The 21,584-nt window shown below is 42.8% G+C and overlaps 1 protein-coding gene across 1 annotated transcript in view, besides 1 other annotated feature; it reads right to left on the reverse strand.

Moving 5' to 3' along the window:
- Window positions 15,419-15,619: a silencer, noted in NCBI's record as "peak4695 fragment used in MPRA reporter construct". NCBI's record gives its function as "represses an SCP1 promoter by STARR-seq MPRAs in K562 erythroleukemia cells {active_cell/tissue: K562}" and the evidence as "EXISTENCE:reporter gene assay evidence [ECO:0000049][PMID:32103011]".
- RYBP (RING1 and YY1 binding protein) overlaps window positions 16,952-21,584 on the reverse strand; it is a gene marked incomplete at its 5' end in the record, with an annotated part of 72,027 nt that continues 67,394 nt past the window's right edge. The window contains 2 exon segments of the mRNA NM_012234.7: window positions 16,952-20,992; window positions 21,395-21,493. Coding sequence (NP_036366.3) covers window positions 20,740-20,992; window positions 21,395-21,493 — 352 coding nt within the window.

A 21,584-nucleotide genomic window follows, 5' to 3' on the forward strand; every position in this document is an offset into this window, starting at 1 on the left:
AGGGTCTCACTCTGTCACACAGGCTGGAGTTCAATGTGATCACAGCTCACTGCAGCCTCAACCCCCTGGGCTTAAGTGATCCTCCCACCTCAGCCTCCCAAGTAGCTGGGACCACCGGTGTGTGCCACCACACCTGGCTAATTTATTTATTTTTATTTTTTGTAGAGATGGGGCCTCCCTATGTTGCCCAGGCTGTTCTAAGACTTTTATAGTTTTAGCTCCGACATTTAGGATCTTGATCCATTTTGAGTTCATATTTTATACCATGTGAAATAGAGATCTGTCTTTATTCTTTTGCATGTGGATATTCAATTGTCCCAGCACCATTTGTGGAAAATATTATTCTTTCCCTATTGCACTGTTTTGGTAACCTCATGAAAAATCAATTGACCATAAATGTGAGAATTTATTTCTGGACTCTCAATTCTATTCCATTGATCTATATGTCTATGTCAGTACCAAGATTGCCTTGTTTACTGTTGCTTTGTAGTAAGTTTTCAAATCAGAAAGTGTGAGCCCCTTAATTTTCTTTTTGTTTTTTTTTAAGATTGTTTTGGCTATTCTGAGTCCCTTGTATTTCCATATGACTATTGGGATCAGCTTGTCAATTTCTGCAAAGAAGTCAGTGAATAGGGACTGTGTTGAGTCTGTAGAGCAATTCAAAGAAGTCCTGCCATCTTACCGATATTAAATCTTTTGGTTGGTGAATATGCGGTGTCTTTCTATTTATTTAGGTCTTTTAAAAATTTCTTTCAACAATGTTTTATAGTTTTCAAAGCATAGGTTTTGCACTTTTAAATTTTATTTTATTTTATTTTTAAAGGGATACTCAACCTGAATTTATTTCATTTATAGAAATAATATGTATTATACATGTATTTATAAAAATGACAATATATGCCTATAAGATCTGTATGCTGAAAACTACAAACACTGATGAAAGAAATCAAAGACCTAAAGCAATGGGGAGACATACTATGTTCACGGATCAGAAGATTCTACAGAGTAAAAATGTCAGTATTACCCAAATTGATAAATAGATTTAACACAATTCCAGCAGGATTTCTGTTGTTGCTGATGTAGACAAGTTAATTCTAAAATTTGTATGGAAAGGCAAAGAAACTAGAATAATCAGAACAATTTTTGCAAAGAAGAGTAAAATTGGAGGAAGATAATCAAAATGATGTGGCATTGGTGAAAGGAACGACTCATATATCAGATAGAGAGTAAGGAGTCCAAAAACAGGCCCACACAAAGGAGGTTTTGCACTTCCTTGTTAAACTTATTCTTAAGTATTTTGTTCTTTCTGATGCTATTGTAAAATGGAATTGTTTTCTTAATTTCATTTTCAGATTTTTCACTGTAAGTGTATAGAAATACAAGTGATTTTTGTATATTGGTCTTTTATCTTGCAACCTTGCAGAACTTGTTCATTAGCTATAATAGGTATTTAGCAGATTGCTTAGGATATTCCATATATAAGATCATGTCATCTGCAAATAGAGATAATTTTACTTCTTCCTTTCCATCTGCATGCCTTTAATGTCATTTTTTTGCCTAATTATTGGATTCCTGGCTAGACGTCCCAGTACAAGGTTGTACAGAAGTGGCAAGAGCACTTCTTGTCTTGTCTCATTCCTGATCTCAGGGGAAGGCATTCAATCTCTCATCCCTAAGGGGGATGCCAACTGTAGGTTTTTCATAGGTGCCCTTTATCACATTAAGAAAGTTTCCTTCTAGTCCTCATTTGTTCAGTGTTTTTTTTAATCATAAAAGTAAATGTTAGTTTTAAAAAGAGACCTTAGGATCTGCAGGCAAAGATGAACCCTTGAACACAGGTCATTTTGTTCCCTCTTGGAACCACTAAAAGTAGAGTAAAGGATTTATTTTTTTCTTTACTGAAAAACAAACAAACAAACAAAAACCCCACAGGACTGGGAGAATGGAGAGAAGACAACAAGAAAATATTTTAAGCTGAAAATAGATGGGTAGGCAGGCACTGCCTTGAGAAAGCCAAATCCTAAGCCAAGTTGTAAAAACTGAGAATCAATGGAATCCTCCAGAGCTCAGGAATTTGTTGTTGCTCTTGTAATTCCAGAAGTGGAGGTGAATGGTGGGGAGGACTAAATAAGGAGTGGGTTAAAGCTGTTAAAGGAGTAGATGGTTTCCCAGATCTGCTCCTTAGGCCCAGCCCTCACTCCAGGCTGTAGGAAACTGTCCTCCCCAATCCACTCTAGGTGAGGCTTTGCCCTCTGGAAAGGGTGACACAGACGTCCCCAGGGCAGGATGTGTGACTTCACATAATGGAGACTGAGACTCCAGACTGCTGTCCAGGCAGGAGACTGGAAGGGCTGACTAGGCCAAGGGGGAAGACCTAAGACATTTATATTTGGGTTTCCCCAAAACAGAGCCCACCACATCCCTCTAAGTTTAATGCCCTCTGCTCTTGGCTTGGTGTTTTCACCTTTATTGTCCTCCACACTTCTTTTCTTTTTCTTTTTTTGATACAGTGTCTCGTTCTATGGCCCAGGCTGGAGTGCAGTGGTGCCATCATGGCTCACTGCAGCCTCAACCTCCCAGGCTAAAGCAATCCCCTCACCTCAACTTTCTGAGTAGCTGGGACTACCAGCGTGCACCACCACACCCAACTAATTTTTAAATTTTTTGTAGAGACAAGCTCTCATTACGTTGCCCAGACCAGTCTCGAACTCCCAGCCTCAAGCAATCCTCCCACTTTCACCTCCCAAAGTGCTGGGATTACAGGCATGAGCCACTGTGCCTGGCCCTCCTCCACTGTTAAATAGGAGATTTAGGAGATTTAGACACACCTGAGAAAATCCTCTAACAGGACAGACATGAAACAAGGAACTTGACAACAGAGACCAGTCTGGGAAAAGAAAGCTTTGAATATTTGCATCATTAATCTTCTCAGAGAAATGAAAGAATATATTGCAGGTATGAAATAAGAAGAGGATGTAACAGGGCCAGGAGTGGTGGCTCACCCCTGTTATCCCAGCACTTCGGGAGGCCAAGGTGGGTGGATCACTTGAGGTCAGGAGATCGAGACCAGCCTGGCCAATATGGTAAAACCCTATCTCTAATTAAAAAAAAAAAAAAAAAAAAAGAGAGAGAAAGAAAGAGAGAGAGAAGTAGAGGTGACCAAAAGGATATGTAAAAATGAATGGCTCTTGGAAATTTGAAACATGATGGAAGAATGGAAGAACTTAATAGTAAGAACTAGAGGCAACAATGAAGTATATTAGTTTGCCAGGGCTGCCATAACACATGTGGAAAGAAAAACTTTAGGCAAATCACATTTAATGGAGTTTAATTGAGTAAAGAACAATTTGAGAATTGGGCAGCTCCTTGAACCAGAATACGTTCAGAGACACTCTGGGGCTGCCACATGATAGGGTAATATTTATGGAGAGAAAAAGGAAAGTGAGGTACAGGAAATGGAAGTGAGGCACAGAAACAGCTGAATTGGCTATAGCTGGGCGTTTGACTTATTTGAACATGGTTTGAAGAGCTGGCAGCCTGTGATTGGCCAAAACTCTGTGACTAGTACAAGAGTAGGTTAGAGTCTGTTTCCACAACCAGTTGGGTTACAGTTCACTGTGTGCCGAGAAACCTCTAGGTTGAACTTGAAATATGTAAGCAGGCAGCTTTGGGCTAAAGTAGAGGCTAAGCTTAATACAAGGTACCACAAACTGAGTGGTTTAAACAACAGAAATGTATCATCTCACTTTTCTGAAGCCTAGAAGGGGAAATTGGCAGTGTTGGTTCCTCCTGGGGCTGTGAGAGCCATCTGTGCCCTGCTCCTCTCTTAGTTCCCGGTGGGTTGCTGGCACTCTTGAGCATTCCTTGGCTTGTAGATTTATTGTCAGATCTGTCTTTATACGGTGTTCTCCCTGTGTGTGTGTTTGTCTCTGTATCGAGATTTTCCCTTTGTATAAGGATACAGTCATATTGGATTAGGGACCTGCCCTAATAATGATCTCATCTTAACCTGATCATCTGCAAAGACCCTATTTTCAAATAAGGTCACATTCATAGGCAATGGGGTTAGGACTTCAACATCTTCTGGAGAGACACAATGCAACCCATAACACGAAGAAATCTCTTTCCAAGAAGAACAAAAGCATAAAGAGATACACAAGACAACACAACACAAGACAGAAATTGTAAGAAAATTAGAGGAGATACAATACCTGAATAGCTGGAGGTCTAGGAAGAAGACAGAAAAAAATGAAGAGAAGGAAGTCGTTAGTGAAATATTTCAAGGAAATTTCCCAACACTGAAGGATTGAAAGGGCCCATTGGGTATTTGGCACAGTGGTGAAAAGGGACCCACACCAAAGAGCATAGTCATGAAACCTCGGTATACTGAAGACACAGAGAAGATTCTTTAAGTTTCCAGAGAGAAAACAATCTCCATGCACAGAATCAGGAATCAGAGGGCTTTGATTTTCTCATCAGTGTCACCAGTTGTGAGGAAGGAAAGCCACTTCCTCCTGGGAGATTATGCCAGTCAAGCTATCAGTCAAATGTAAAGGAAGAATAAAGACTTCATTAGTCTTGAAAGGTCTCAAAGAATGTACCTCCCACACACACATCCTTTCTCAGGAAGCTACTGCACGATGAGCTCCACCAAAATGAGGGAGTAAGAAAAGAAGGAGAAAGACAGAGCCTGCAGGAAGTAGGAGATACAACACTGAAGAGAAGGAAGGGAGTCCCAGGATGACGGTCAAGGAGATCCCGCTATGAAAGCAGGGCCCCCCAGCCTGGATGGAGCAGGTCAGGACACTCTGCTCTGGGAGACATGTCTCCAAAAAGCTGAAACTCCTATAATACCTGAAGCCAGTGAATCTGCTGAGAAGAAATAAGACTACTGGATGAATGTGCTGGGAGTCTCCACCATGGCCCACCTCATCCATTTTCTGCCTTTCTTTGGTCAGCGGTCTCTGTGGATTGAAACTCCTGGCTCCCTTACCTGGGTTCTGACTGAATTTGGCTAATGGGAGGCACTGAGAAGACATGGGAGCGGAAGAAAAGAGAGAGGCCAAGTGTATTCCATGCCTCTCCCTGACTGCTTTGATGCCACCTGGTAAGGTTTGGATTTGTGTCCCCACCCAAATCTCATGTCAAATTGTAATCTCCAACATTGGAGGAGGGGCCTGATGGGAGGTGACTGGATCATCGGGGTGGACATCCCCCTTGCTGTTCTTGTGATAGTGAGTGAGTTCTTATGAGAACTGGTTGTTTAAAGGTGTGTAGCACCTCCTCCTTCATTCTCTTCCTCCCGCTCCGCCATGGTAGGATGTGCCTCCTTCCTCTTCACCTTCTGCCGTGATTGTAAGTTTCCTGAGGTCTCCCCCGCCATGCTTCCTGTACAGCATGCAGAACTGAGAGCCAATTAAAACTCTTTTCCTTATACATTACCCGGTCTCAGGTAGGTCCTTACAACAATATGGGAACAAACTAATAAACCGCCATTTCAGCAGTGGCTATGTCATCCCTCCCCAAACACAGCTCCTACGGGCATCTCCTCTACAGCTCAATCTCCTAGGCTCCAGGAACACTATTTCCTTCCCTTGCCCTTCAGGCCTGGCACTGTCAACAGCTTCCTACTGTTGCTGAAGTCCTGGGGTGCCTCTCCATCCTCGTCCACACCTCTCTCAACAGCCCCTTCATTTACAAACCCTTGGATTAAAACCTCTGTGTGAAATGCTGCGTCCAACCAGGACTCCAACTCACCCTGCCTGTGTTTGTGGTAGAAGTGATGATAAAGAAGCAAACAAAAAAATAATCATAAACTCTAGGAAAACAAAAATTGTGTAGGAAAGGAAAAACAATCGTGGTTTTACCATAAAACACCACTGTGATGATGTGCACTAATAAAGTCAAAACAATAGAAATAATGAATATTGATTGAGCCAAATACAGTATAATAATATTGAGAGTTGGGCAGGGGGTGAGAGAAAAGTCTGCTTACATAGGATGAGGATGGGCAGAAGGAATAAGGGCTAAAATCTTATCTTCCATAGTGGAAAGTCAAGAGATAACACTTAAGATGGAAAACACAGCAAGGAGCTCTAGGCATGATTCTTAAGAGATGTGGAAACGAGTACCAAAGAAATCATGATACAGAACAGAAAATGTTCCTCTGAAGAAGGGGAGAAGGGAAGAGGGTAGGGCTGGGGATTGGGGCTGCTGTTTTCCTTTTTCTTTCTTTCTTTTATTTTGAGACAGGGTCTCGCTGTTACCCAGGCTGGAGTGCAGTGGCTCAGTCTCAGCTCACTGCAGCCTCTACCCCCTGAGCTCAAATGATCCTCCCACCTCAGCCTCCTGAGTAGCTGGGACGACATGTGCACTCCACCATGTGTGACTAATTTTTTAATTTTTTTTGCAGAGATGGGGGTCCCACTATGTTGCTCAGGCTGGGCTCAAGCAATGTTCCTGCCTCAGCCTCCCAAAGTGCTGAGATTACAGGTGTGAGCCACCACACCCGGCCAGTTTTTCTTAATGTATTGTGATGCTTGGGCTGTCATAACAAAATACCAAAGACTAGGTGGCTTAAACAACAGATATTTATTTCTCACTGTTCTGGAGGCTGACCATCTAAGATCATGGTGCCAGCAGGGCGGGTCCCTCCTGAGGCCTCTCTCCCTGGCTTTCAGATCATTGTCTTCATGCTGTGTCCTCACATGGCCATTCCTCTGTATCTCTTCCTCTTCTTACAAGGACACCAGTCCTATTAGGTTAGGGCCCTGCCCTTGTAACTTCATTTAACCTTGATCACTTCTTTAAAGGCTCTGTGTCCAAATACAGGTTTAGGGCTTCAACATCAACATATGAATTTGGTGGTGGTAGCTGGGGTGGCGAGGACATGATCCAATCCATTACACTTAGCATGCTGTGTGGATCTAGGAAATTCTTCAAGCTGTATGTTAAGCAAGGTACATCCAGGGAGCATGAACTATGTGTTAAAAGCATCCTGATATAAAGGCCAGTACTGGGGGCATAAAGAGGCAGGCCCCGAGTTTGGCTAATGGTAGACATTTGTTAAACACACCCATTTTACTAGTCTTGTCTTTTGCCCATCACAAAGACTCCCGGAGTCCAAGTGCCTCTACCTGGTTTTGATTTTCTTCCAATTTTAACAATGTGGCAAGAATGGAAAACCAGATTTTTTTGTTCAGCGTGTCTCCTTGACTGCAGAGTGTTGAGTACAGTGAAATTGAGGAAGCTGGGTTAGGTTTAATTCCTGCTCGTTTTTGATTAATTTCTGTTTGCATTCTTGTATCCCAATAACATGGTGTGGTAGATCGATTAATGCTCAGAATGTGTGTTTTCTCTTCCTCTGGCACCCTTCTCATGGGATCCCAGTCTTCTGTGGTCAGGAGTGATCATGTACTTCTTAGCCTAGTAAAATGTGAGCAAAAGTGATGCGTGTCACCTCTAAACAGAGGTTGAAGAGCCAGTGCACGGTTTGCTATCCCTTCTGCCCCAAGGTTGACAATAATATCCCAGAGAGAGGTTGCTCCATCAGCTTGGGTTCCAGAGTAATGCACAGGGACACTGGCATGGGTGAGAAACAAGCCTTTGTTGTTAGCCTTGGAGATTTGAGGTCATTTGTTACAGGAGCAAAACACAGCCTCAGCTGATTGATTCTGGTGGGCATATCTTCCATTCGAAGCAGCCCAACAGTGCCCCATTAACTTATGTGGCCATCACATTCTCTGCATTATACAGATTTTTTTTCAAGGAGGAAGCCATTTAGCAGAAGAGAAGTGAGAGCCATACCAAGATTATCTGGATCCTTTTTAGCTCGCAGTAGCACTTCCACTTAAGACCATGGAAGCATTCTAGACTCTAATAAAAATTACAAACCTGGCCAGGCACAGTGGCTCACGTCTGTAATCCCAGCACTGGGATGCAGAGGCAGGCAGATCACTTGAAGTCAGGAGTTCGAGACCAGCTTGGCCAACATGGTGAAACCCTGTCTCTACTAAAAATACAAAAATTGGCAAGGCATGGTGGCAGGCACCTGTAATCCCGGCTACTTGGGAGGCTGAGGCAGGAGAATCGCTTGAACCCGGGAGGCAGACTGCGGTCACCCATTGCACTCCAGCCTAGGCAACGGAGAGAGACTCTGTTTAAAAAAAAAAATTACAAACACTGCCTCCAATAAAAATGCACATTTGCTATCACACACACACACACACACACACACACACAATTTTTGTGAAAATTTTCAAGGAACTCATGTCACAGACCTTCTGAAGCCATTCATGAATCCTTCCTTTAAGATCTAACTTCACTCTCATCTTTAAAACCTCCCCAGCAGCAGAGACTAAGTCGGCTAGCTGAAACCTAACATAGCACTTAAGACAATTTCTGCTAGAAGACAGGGACTGTATTATTCAGCTCTGGATCAATATGGTAATTGGTACAAAGCAGGCAGTCAAGAAATATATATTGGATTAAACACAGCAGCTCTACGAAAAAAGGTATTAATATGACCTCATTGTATAGGAAAAATCCTCGAGGTCATCTAGTTATTAAGTGATAGGTGGATTTGGACCCCAAATCCACTGACCTTAAACCCTTGCATTGTCCGTAGTTCCAAGCTACTCAAACCCAGGGCTACAGGAGGCTTCAGGAGAAGTGTGGCCTATTTTTTTCTGGGGGGAGGGGAGCAGCAGTTTTACTAGAAATTTTTAAAATCAGTTAATATTAACTTCATCTGCATATAACAGAAAGAAAACTCAAAAGTAATAGTGCCTTAAATAAAAGAGAACTTTATTTATGACATCTATGAGAGGTCAAATGCTAGCCAGGGCCAACCTGGAACAGCAACTCCATGGGTTCACCTGGGACCCGGGCTTCTGTCGTTCAGCTCTTGCTATACTTAACATGTGACTTCCATCCTTAATGTTTCCCTTATGGTCTAAGATCACTGGTAGAGTTCCAGGCATCACATTCAAGTTCCAAGCTGGAAAGCTAGAGGATGCTTGTCTCTCCACTTCCACCCCCATCTTTCGAGAACACTTCCCAGAAGAGACACATGGCACTTCAGCTTGCTTCACATTGGCTAGAAAATGGTCACATGGCCATGCTTAGCTTTGTAAGGGAGGCTGGGAAATGTTGTCTTCATCCTAGAAGGCAATCAGCCCGGCTAATCACTGGGATTCCATTATGAAAAAGGAAGGGAAGAAAAGACCAGGTGTGATGGCTCATGCCTGTAATCCCAGCACTTTGGGAGGCCGAGGCATGGGGATCACCTGAGGTGAGGAGTTTGAGACCGGCCTGGCCAACATGGTGAAACCCCATCTCTACTGAAAATACAAAAATTAGCCGGCCGTGGTGGCAGGCACCTGTAATCCCAGCTACTCAGGAGGCTGAGGCAGGAGAATTGCTTGAACCTGGGAGGCAGAGGTTGCAGTTAGCCGAGATCATGTCATTGCACTCCAGCCTGGGCAACAAGAGCAAGACTTCGTCTCAAAAAAAAAAAAAAAAAAAAAAAAAAAAAAAGAAAGAGAAGGGGAAGGAAGGAGATTGAGAAGCAATTTAAATTCTCTACCATGTAGTTATTGAGAGATGTCATTGCTTTTATATTCAAATACAAGCTCTTCTTGTCAGACAAATCTGGTGTTCAGCCTGGCTGTGCACTAAGAGAGCAGCTAAGCGGAGGCACACAAAACTCAGGTAATAAAATGTTACGCCTTTCAAAGTGACAGTGGAAGGCTGACTGCCATCTTGGCTCCCCTCCTCCCGAAGGGCCTGCTGCTGCTTGAGATGCAAACTCCCAGCAGGATGGCTGGCCCTGGAATGGGAGCACCTGTTCCCCAAGAGGACAGTGAGGTAGGACAGGGAGGAGCTGGAGAAAGGGGTGAGGGTATTGACTAGGTCACTATCTTGCAACTATGTCCTTTGATCAAAACAGCAGCAGAGGCTAGACGCAGTGGCTCATGCCTATAATCGCAGCACTTTGGGAGGCCAAGGTGGGTAGATTACCTGAGGTCAGGAGTTTGAGACCAGCCTGGCCAACATGATGAAACCCCGTCTCTACTAAAAATACAAAAAATTAGTGGGGCATGACGGCTCACACCTGTAATCCCAGCTACTTGGGAGGCTGAGGCAGGAGAATCATTTGAAGCTGGGAGGTAGAGGTTGCAGTAAGCCAAGATCGTGCCATCGCACTCCAGCCTAGGCAACGAGAGCGAAACTCTGTCTCAAAAACAAAACAAAACAAAAATGGCAGCACAGTCAATGCTGGTCCTCCATTGGCTTCTTGGGGTGCTGAGGTGATTGATTCTCACGCTTTTTAGAGGCCTTCAGGAGTATGTGTGAAAGACAGCCGCTGGCTCGATCTGCCAACTGCCAGAAACTAGCAAATGTACATGGAATCTGAAACAAACAAACAAACAAAAAACCCTGCCCATGGGAGGGCCTGGGAACTCATACTTTGTCAATATATACCTCCCCCTCATTCCGACCCTCCCCAAACTAGGCACTCTGTGGAGTGCGAGGTAGGAAGGTAGCAGGCTTTTTCAAACTTTCCAGCCAAAGCACCATCAGGGCAGAAGAGTATACTAAGAAAAGGAAATTTCTGAGTTCTTCCCTTTTGTTCTTAGAATACATGTTGAATTTGCATTTCACCTAACTCCATAATTTGGGCAGTGAGATCATCTACTGACCTTCTGCTGTGTGCCAGGTGGTGTGCCACCTTCCCTCTCTTCCCCCTGGGGAGGGCCAGCCTTTTCCAGGAAGGCAAGGGTAGGCACTGATGAAGGAATTACCCTGGCTCAGGCAGAGCAAGTCCAAGGCTGGGCTCGCCAAGTCCCAACACACCTTCTGGCAGCAGAGTCTATTAAGCAAAATCTTCAGATGTCTGGGTCGCGGGGCAGCCGGGGATTTTCGAAAGCACTGAAGTGAATGGTCATGTCAAGAGGCTGCCAGCCTCTCACCTGCTGTCAGGAAGAAAGGCTTCTGGTGTCCAGGGAATCAAGAACGACTCACTTAAGCAGGAGTGTGACTAAGATGAGAGCAGATTCAAGAGCGCTACTGACAGCCGGAGTACACTGTTAGATCTCTCCCAGAAAATGATGGACGAGAAACCCACAAGGCAGGGAGTGTGGCTCCCTGCCACGGTGCTGGGCCAGGCCATGCTGTTGGCATGCAGATGCTCCGGGAGCATTTTCTGGTCTGCGGTTAGGATGCCAGAACCTTCCCTCTTCTGCAGTTGGGATTGCATTTGATGGCTCTGAATGGTCCTATCTGTAACCACTAGGCTCCTGAACATGAAATGAGCTGTCACTTTGCAAAGCTACATTGGTTCCCAATGTGGTCCCTATGGTGGGAAATAGCAGGTTGCAGGACATCTGAGTTAGTACCCAGGTGGAGCAGGGAACTGTCATTTTCTGGGCATCTACCAGGAGCCAGGACCTCATCAGCTCACTAAATCCTTACAACTGTCTTAGCATTCTACAGAGAAAAAAAAACAGAGGTTCAGAGAGGTTTAATGATGCGCTCAAGGTCACAGACGCAATTTGTACCTAGTATGTCTTACCTGCAACTCCCTTGCTCTGTTCACTTAAGCTTTCACCCAAGCTATATAAGTTGGTGGAAGGTAGGTCAAATTTTTTTAAGTTTTTAAAACACCATAGTAAAGAAAGTTAAATGGGTCTCTTTCCTGTAGCACTTCTGAGAGCCTTTGTTACGCTAATGATCACTGTGAAACTTCAAGAAGGCGTCTATGTTAAACAGTTATTGCCAAACACATTTGGCCAAAGCTAGGCATCTGGCCTACTTGATGTTTCAAGGAACACGCTTTGGGGCAAGCTGTGCATTCGGTCTCTTGAAAACTAAAAGCCAGAGCTCTACATTAGACAGCCTTGATTCAAACCTTGACTCCCCCACTTACTAGCTGGGTAACCTTCCTGTGCCCAAGTGTCCTCATTTGTAAAGCAGGGAGTTAGGATTCCTGCAATCCACAACGATTTATTGAGTTTTTACTAAGTCTCCAGACATGGAGGGCTGTAACAGTGCTTACCTCATAGAACGTGACTAAGATGGGAGTATATTGCAGGGGTTAGCACATTTTTTGTAGAAAGGGCCAGAGTGTAAACATTTTAGGCCCTGGGCCACACGGTCTCTGTTGCAATGACTCCATTCTGCTATCGTAGTGGGGAAAACAGCCAGCCATAGACAATAGATAAATGAATAAGTGTGCTGTGTTCCAATAAAACTTTATTGACAAACACTAAAATTTGAATTTCATATAATTTTCACATCACAATTATTCTTCAAAAATCATTTAATAATCATTAAGATTATTTATTTATTTTTATTTTTTTTGAGATGGAATCTCGCTCTGTTGCCAGGCTGGAGTGCCATGGCATGATCTCGGCTCACTGCAATGTCCGCCTCCTGAGTTCAAGTGATTCGCCTACCTCAGCCTCCTGAGTAGTTGGGATTACAGGTGCACGCCACCACACCCAGCTAATTTTTTGTATTTTTAGTAGAGATGGGGTTTCACCACGTTGGCCAGGCTGGTCTTGAACTCTCGACCTCAAGAGATCCGCCTGCCTTGGCCTCCCAAAGTGTTGAGATTACAGGTGTGAGCCACTGCGCCCGGCCTAAATTATTATTCTTTAAATATTTTTTTCAACCATTAAAACAATGTAAAAGTAATTCTTAGCTAGAGGGCTGTACAAAGACAGGCATTGGGATGGATTAGGCCCATGGGCTGTAGTTGCCAACGCCTGCTATATTCAATAGAGTCACTGTGAAGATGAAACGTGTCTACATAAGGCATAAAACAGTACCAATAAAATGTGCCATTCTTTCTACTTCGATAAGTTTTGCTGTGATGATACCAATCCATGTTGCATAGAACTAATGAATAACTGGCCAGGCATGGTGGCTCACGCCTGTAATCCCAGCACTTTGGGAGGCTGAGGCGGGAGGATCACTTGAGGTCAGGAGTTCGAGACCAGCCTGCCCAACATGGTGAAACCCTGTCTCTGCTAAATCCAAAAAATTAGCTGGGCGTGGTGGCACATACCTTTAATCCCACCTATTTGGAGGGCTGAGGCAGGAGAATCCCTTGTACCCAGGAGGTGGAGGTTGCCGTGAGCCAAGATTGCCCCATTGCACTCCAGCCTGGGCAACAAGAGCAAAACTCCGTCTCAGAAAACAAGAAAAACAAAAAAACCAAAAAACAAACCACTAATGAATAACGGTCAGAGGGCTGGGAACATAAACAAAGGTTGTAGAGTGAACTGTTGGTCCCACCACTTCTACTCACATGTGTCCCCATTTCCAGTTCACTCAGTCTCATCTAGGCCTAAGCTCCCACTCGGGATTTATCAATCTCTGCAGAAGAGGGGCGAGCCCAGCTGGGGTGTTGGCATTCCTGCCTCTGCTCAGCAGCCCACCAAAGTGGTCCCCATCTTGCCGGCCAGCACAGGCCACACGCGACACCACGACACGATTAATGGCATTAACAGCGCCGGAGGCCGCTGATTGTTCTAAGATGAATGGAAGCCACTTGCAATTCTCCCTCTTATTCCCCTATTAGTTTGCTGCCTTCGTGTGCATTGTCAGGGTGATTTCTACAAGCAGGAGTTGCTTGGAACTTCACAGTACAATTTATTAGAGGTTTCTGCCTCTTGGGAATGCCTTGGATTCACACATTTTCTAGATTGCTATAATTCCAACCAATAAGATAACTCTATTGGAGACTTCTCCAAACGGGTACAAATTCCTTTTAATGTGAAGAGGCAATGAATACAATTTATAAATCTGCCTGGCTCCCAGACACCGAGTGCTCCTCATTCTGGGGCTGCTGTGATGGCCGAATTACTCAGGCTGAAAAAATGATTCTCATCTAGAATTCACACCATGAGTGTGTTTGTGGCAGATCTAGGGGTTTGTACCTCAAACTTCTCTGTGCAAGAAGCCTGTGGCATTTATGCACCACATGAAAAGAATCCCATTCTCAATTAAGAAGATATACATGTGTGTACGTTATACGTGTTATTTACGCACAATCCAGCAACTAATGCTTAGTAAGCTTCTACAGTGTGATCACAGCAGATGCCGTGCACATCTCTACTTCTTCCATCAAGTTTCAACTTTTACCTTTTCAATAATAACAGGACAGTAAACGTCATTTTTAAAAAATCGAATGTTTAATGATGAAAGGCCGTATTCATTACAACACTGTTTGTAGACATAGAAACGTCAAGCAGGTGTCAAAAATCCCACTGGACTTTATTTACATGCAGGCTTTAACCAACTTTGCTCTTTGTTTTAGTACAGGAAAATTCATGAATTAAAACTTGAAAACACAATAAAACAATCACAAAACAAATTATCTTCATTTCCGGTGTCATCAGTGAAGCATCAGAATGAAAGTTCAAATAAAGTTTTTGCTTCCCGTTGTTAAAAACATGGTAACACACAACCCACCTCTGGGAGCACTGCGCCATGATTCCTTGGAGCAGAGAACACAGTAGGAGCACATACACCTCTAATCCCTACTTGACAACTGAGGGAAATGGCCCGGTCAGCTGACTTGCCCAAGGACACCCAGGCAGTCAGAGGTAGGAGTCTCACCTAGTTCTGTGGTTTCCAGGAATCATATCCATGTGGTGTTCTACTCTGTTATTTGAGAGCCCCCGGTTGACAGAACCAGTAGGACAGCTTGGGCAAGTAGGTCCCGGTCTGGCCTGTAGGGTAAGACACTGGCAGGCCTTCAGGTCTGGGGTTCAGGGCTGCATTTAAAGTTACAGTGCTCATCACTGGCCTCACTAAGAATCCCCTGGTCTGACCCTGTTTTGAACAGGAAGTTGAACTCTTTGAAGAGTTGGGTGTTGGATATTTAGTTTTCTTCCTTCCTGACTCCTCCGAGCTTCTCAGCTGGCCTTCTTGGATTCATGCAGTTCCACAATTGAAGTGTTGATTAAAAACTGCCTTGAAGGGTTTCCCAGTTATTTGGGGTGGGTTTCGTCCAGGGAAGGAATGGCAAATGGGTTGCACTTCAGGAAGACGTGCTAACAATGAGCTCTAATGAGGATTCTGAGTCTGGATTCAGCTGGAAAGAAGCGCTGTGACTGATTAGTGATGTCTGGCACAAGCTGGAGGTGGGTAGGGGGACGGTTGGGGTCAATGTCACTTACTCTAGGTCTAGGTCAAGAGCATGTGTAGGAATGGGCCAATTTCAGCCTGTGCCCTCCCCTCCACAAATTCTTCCCTGTTATAACCAGCACTGCACTGATGCACAATTGGGACTGTATAAATGCTTAGGGACTCGATGCCTTACAGTAAGCCCCCACCCAGCCTTGTAGTTAATGCCTGGAGAGAGGCACTATCAGGCAGAACATCACACCTGCATGTCTACCTTCACTCCGCAGGCTTCCAGACACATCCTAGGATCCTGTCTGAGAAAACCAGAGCCCTCCTGCAGTATCTAGTTGTCTATGTCCATTGTCCTCTCCTGACAGAAGCCCTAAAGACAGGCCGTGGGCTTCCTTCAGTGGTTAGCAAACAGAACCTTCTCGAGTTTTGATCCTAACACAAAGATAGCTCTAACCTTCCTTGCTATGGTTTGAAGGGTTAGGAGTGGCCTTCCAGAACCGCTGGGAGGTCAGGGGCGTGCTAGACCAAGGGCCTCCTGGACGTCCCTTATGTTCTCTTCACTGCCCAAGGTGGAGTCTGGCTGGTTTCCATTTCCACGCCGTAGGGCTATGAAATCAGAGAGCACAAGCCTGGGCCCTTGCTGGCTGAAGTCGTCATTCCACCCTTGATCAAGAATAATTGAGCAAGAGCTGCTTCCATGATCCTGTCACACTCTAGCCATGGGATTTCTCAATGGGGATCTGGACACTTGGTGTTAACACTAGAGTTTGGCTGAGGATTAGAGAAAACCTTTTTGCCTCCCTTTCCGTCCACACAACTGGAAAGAAACGACTCTTCCTTGTGCCTCCCCTGTAAAGACCAAGTGCTTGCTTTGGTCCACACCTGGTATGGGAGACAATTCCCATCCTCCTCCAAAGGATGGTACCAGTGCCACCAGCAGTGGGGGCCCTCACAGTGAACTCCTCAGGCACAAAAGCAAGCAGAGGGGCATGGGGTTAGCAGATCGCACGTCTGTATCCAAAATGGCCTGTGGGAAACATGAGAGACCCCATCCAATCCCTGTCCTTCAACCCTTCCAGATCCTTTCCAAGACTTCTGAGGGGCCAAACTTGGGTCACGTTCAGTACTAAAAAATGAGGACGAAGAATGGAACTTGCTGTTTTATCAGAACAGACCCATTTTCAACTCAACATCCTGCGCTATTTACACTCTCTTCCTTCCAGTGCTAGTTCAGGTGCAGACCCAGGACAAAATAATCGGGGATGGATCTTGACATGTTTTAAGTGGTTTCTTAATTCTTTGGAAGGTTATAGACTGGTATGCCTCAGCACCTGCAGCAGCAGGCAGGAGTCTCCCTCGCATGGGGCAATAAGTGAGCTTGTGTGGCTTTTAGGTTAGTAACACACTTTATTCACATCTCTGAGACATAGTTGACCTAAATCCAGTTGGCCAGAAACAGGGGTTGTCTTTTGAGGATTTTCAGTCCTCAATTAGCATATTTTAGCATCATCTCCATTTTCTTTCCTTAAATCCCATTTCCTTCCTTTACATCATTGCAATCTATCTCAAAGGTTACACTTAGGAGACAGTTCATTTTCTTTCAAATTTTGGTGATTCTTTTGCCCCATTATGTCTCCTTTTGCATCTTTGAGGTATGTACTTAAGATACCCAGCTATTTCAGCTTCTGATAAACAAGTTCTAAAATACAAAGTGAGCTTCCTATTCACATTGGAAATATTCCACAGATTAAAAATTAACTATTATTCTAAAGGCTAAAATCTATACACACAAAAATAAAGATTTCCAATGTAAATTTTACTATTTTATTTGTGAAAAAACTACAAGCAGAATTCATAAATAGACATTTCTATTTAAAGCAGGAAAATGATAAAGTGGCTTCTAATAACATAGTCGTGCACATGCCAGTAACAGGAATATATTAACATCTTTTATTTGCTAGACAAAGAGCAGTGTCCAATATAAATTTCCCCCAAAACATTTAAGACCTGTGAATTTTTGACCAGTTCACAAAACCACCAACTGACACTTTAGCATGAAGAAAAAAACAAACCTAACAGACTGTCAGCTCTAAAGACATTACAGAGCAGAAACTTCCAAAAGCGTTATACAAGCTGTCTTTCTGGGCAAATGAAAAATATAGCTCGTATAATACATTAACAAAAATTCACAAGATAAGATTGTTTTGACATACTTAACAAGCATTCTCTATTTGTCTCCAACAAACAAAGCTAAGGAAATAATGTAACCATCTTTACACAGTAAATTAAGGTTACAAGTCATACACAAGAACAGAACTGCTTGCGCATTAAAAACTGTTCAGCTCCATTGTCATACTCTAAATGTTGGCTCTTAAACCATTTTCGGTTACATACAAGCAAAGGTTATTATATATTCAGCAATTAATAAATTTTCAATAATTTAAGATACGGTAGCTTAAAAAAGTAGACTGAGAATGGTCTTGATAAGGCAGGTGAAACATCTTAGTGGAACTAAACTCACAGAAGCTTCTGCCAATGTTTTTAAATATCCAGATTGAAACTGAAAGGTTTTGATTAGAATATTGTGTGGGTGTCAAGATGTCTTTTTTTTTGTAACTGCATGACTCAAGCAGAGCAAGTCAGGTAAGCTCTGTGTGCGCGCACACGCACGAGTGTGAAAGATTGCGTGGTATTAAAACAAATGGAAACTTGCAAGCGTAACACTGTGCTTTTTGTTTGTTTAACCTGCTTTCTGTGCCACTGAATACCAAGTATTTCTGGTCCTCTTTTAATGTATATCTTTATAATCTACACTAGTGTTTTTACACGCTGCCTACTAATTGTAGGGCATACTGCAGACACAGGAAGTTACAGGAATTCCATTTCCAGAATACATGCCTGAGGGATGTCATCAATTTCCAAAATTAAAAGTCTATAAAGTACCTACTACCTCACTACCCAACAGAATACACCACAGCAGCTAAAGGGCTGGCCCTGTAACATCTGATTGCTTAGATAACTCCCACTGTTAGCTGCGGTTTCTACAAAGATGGTAATTTCATGCCACTTGTTCTAAAGCAATCTTCTTCCCCTTCCTTCACCCCTCCCCATTCTTTAATTTATCACGGAGGCAAAACTGAAAAACCAAAACATTGGCATGAATGAATTAGCAGCCTATGAGTAGCTGGTTAATCAGCTTTTTCCACTAATCTATGGGGTCCAATCACTTTACATGAAACTAGTTTTTGAAAAAGTACACAGTGTGTCTGAACAAAGTGCATACCAACAGTTATTGGTTCAATAAGCAGTGCAACCTACATGAGTTTGGTGGCATTTAAGTTTTTTCAAAAAGTTAAAAACAGCAATTTCTTAAACCTCTGGAAAATAAATATGGCTGACTAATTTACCCTCCCTGAGACCCTTAATAAAAGGAATATTAAAACTTTAGAAGGAATGTCTTTGCAATATCCCACCAATATTAAAATGTGGATTTAAAATTCATAGTCAAATCACTATGTATTATATATTCTGATGCTTATAGAAAGCATCTGATTTCCTTTGGTTCATTAATAAATACTTTAAAAATGTATTTAAAAAGATAAGCAAAGCTTGCATCCCAGACACAAGCATTATTTTAAAAAGGGGGGAACATTGTCCATGCATTTGAGAATAGGACCACAGCAACAAATGGCACTGCTTTATAATCTATACCTTTGAGAAAAGAATTTAAATTATGGTACATTAGTGACTACAGAATAGTTTTAATGTAAATGTGAAAGGAACCTTTCCTGTTGGCTACTCAATTCAAGCTGTTAATTTTTTTATTTGTTGCCTCCACAGACAGAAATTACTGCTATTATTAAGCAAACCAGGTTTTTAACACCAAAATGTGGTGCTTCATTACAAATCAGGCTGCCCTCCCGTGAGTCCCTAAAGGTCAAATAAAGAGAGGTAACCTCAAATTCTCATGCTTGAAATGTCTCTGAAGTACTACAAACTCTGTATCTAAATGTAAAAGTCAAATAGAAGAGAGACCCCACATCCAAACAAAAGCAAAACAAAATTTTAAAAAATTATTTTAATAAGGAGAGGTGGAATCTTATTAGTGGTCTTTGATTATTTTTTTTTTTTTTTTTTTTGCAAGACAGTAAAAAGAGTGAAGAGAATGAAATAGAACAGTTTACTCAAGCTATCTTTATGTCCAGGAAGAAAAAAGATTACATGCTGCTCGCAGTAAGTACGAGCTTTCCCTGCAACTCTGGCTGCAGGCGCGCAAGCCGTTCACCACTGGAGTTCCTACCACAGCAGGGGATTGAGAAATGTCTCCAAACACTGAAAAGCTCCATGTCAGGACTGGATGTGTGGTTGATAACCTTTGTTCAGTAAAACAAATCATAGTAGGTTTTGAGAAGGAAAAAAAGAATGCTCACAACTGAATCGGTAGAGTGAAGGTTTATCAGACAAAGGGACATGAGGCAAACAAATTTTAATTACAGAAACCACCACTGCAATGTCATGTAGAAAGGAGAAACAAGGGACTAGCTTCCTGGATGGACCAAAAATACAGTTTATAGACTGTTTCAATCCTAAAACTAAGACAATTTCTAGATTTACCTCAGACATGAGTAGAGGTCTGGAAAATGGATGGAATTCAAGTTACAGAATACCATATTTTCATGAGTGCTTATGTAAGAACAGCAAATGATAACATGTAACCGTAATTTACACGAATACTTGGCATTCTGGAGCTACTTTAGTTACTTTTGAATGATCAAAGCCCTGCCCAACTAAACCACTTGTGATTTGTCAGTTATTCCATTGCAAATGCAGGCTATCTGGAGCAGTCTTTAAATTTGAGATCACATTGTTTAAAAAATATATATTTTTATATCGTCCAGTACTCTTTAGACAGATGAGAGAGTCAAGTTCCCACATGGATTGGAACATACTTCATATAAGACTGATTTTAATTAAATTTCAGCACTTTCATAGAAGGGACTGTCCCAGATCTGTAACTGTTCAATGTTGTATTCACTTCACAGTGTATCAAGCACCAGCGTTGCCATGGATTGGTTTCAAATAACCCTTTATATATAATTTTATATTTATATATATATAGTTATATCAAAACTGATAGTACATAGTATAACTGGAAGAAAGAACTAAACTTAAAAGGATATGCTGAAAGGATGGAGTTTGTGAACACAATAAATAAAAGTTCCCTCCCCCTCCCAGCCCTCCCCACCGGCAACAAAACAAAAACAAAAAACCAGTTGTAATGTACATGGAAAATTGTGCACAGCAGATTTTTTTTTTTTTATAAAAAGTAGATTCAGGAGCACATCCAATTATAAATGATTGTTAGGAAAATCATATAAAACAATGGAATACATAAAAGTGTCAAGAGTAATCGTCAGGGTGCGAAATTCCTTGGTGGCCAGATGCCCATGGCAAGCAGAAATTATCCTGGCAGCATCACTAAGAGGTCGATGTCCACAGAAGATTCTCCAGGGATGCAAGCAGCATGGGCAGGTGGAGGTTTTGAATTTCATACCCTGATTCATAGTTTTCACAATTCCATGTGCAATTTCAGAAAGATTCATCATTGACTGCTGACATGTCGCCCTTTGGCGTGGAGGAACGGGAGGAGCCCTTGTCTGTGCTCTCTGACCCCGAGCTGCTCTGGTTCTGCTGTTCTGACCCTGCACTGGAGGTCACTGTGGATGAGGATGTCGATGAGGAGCGAGTCTTTTCCTTAAAGTCTGTGATAATGACGGTGACGTTGCCCACAGTTACTGCCAACTGCTGTGCAGTGCTCCTGTCCACGTTTTTCAGCCGGGGCCTAGAAGCAACACCACAGGGGAAGAGCCAATTAAGTAAGTTATGGATCAAAAACAGCTTCTGGCAGAATATCATCAATACGCACAAGACTTCATGACACTGTGGCAATGAATCCGAACTGCCTACCACACATGCCAAAGCCGACTACAGAGTGTGCTACTCAGTTTTAGCAATAATCCAACAAGCACGGATAGCAAAGCTTGGGACCAATGTAAAATTACTATTATCTGTTTCCTGTTCTGGCCACAGTATTTAAAAAAGAGAAAAAGTCACCAGCCCCACCCATACTTAGCTCTTCACCTTCTTAGCCTACAAACCCAAGGCACAAAACCACCCTGGATTCATGATTACGATTAAGTAAATCAGAGCAGTGATTTAGTATGTCATTCTAGTTTCCAAGTACCTTGAGGTGTGATTTGTTTCGCTGGTCTTTGTTGTAGCATTTGCAGACTGTATGCTGTTTGCTTCACTAGGAGGATCTTTCAGAATGTCAGACTTTGGTCTAAATGAGGGAGATACAAAACAAACAAACAAACAAAAAAAACAGGCATTTAGAAGATATCTTGAATTCACTTGCAAAGTAATATCCTGTA

This window comes from Homo sapiens, chromosome 3, assembly GCF_000001405.40.
Source record: "Homo sapiens chromosome 3, GRCh38.p14 Primary Assembly".
NCBI classification, from domain to species: Eukaryota; Metazoa; Chordata; class Mammalia; order Primates; family Hominidae; genus Homo; species Homo sapiens.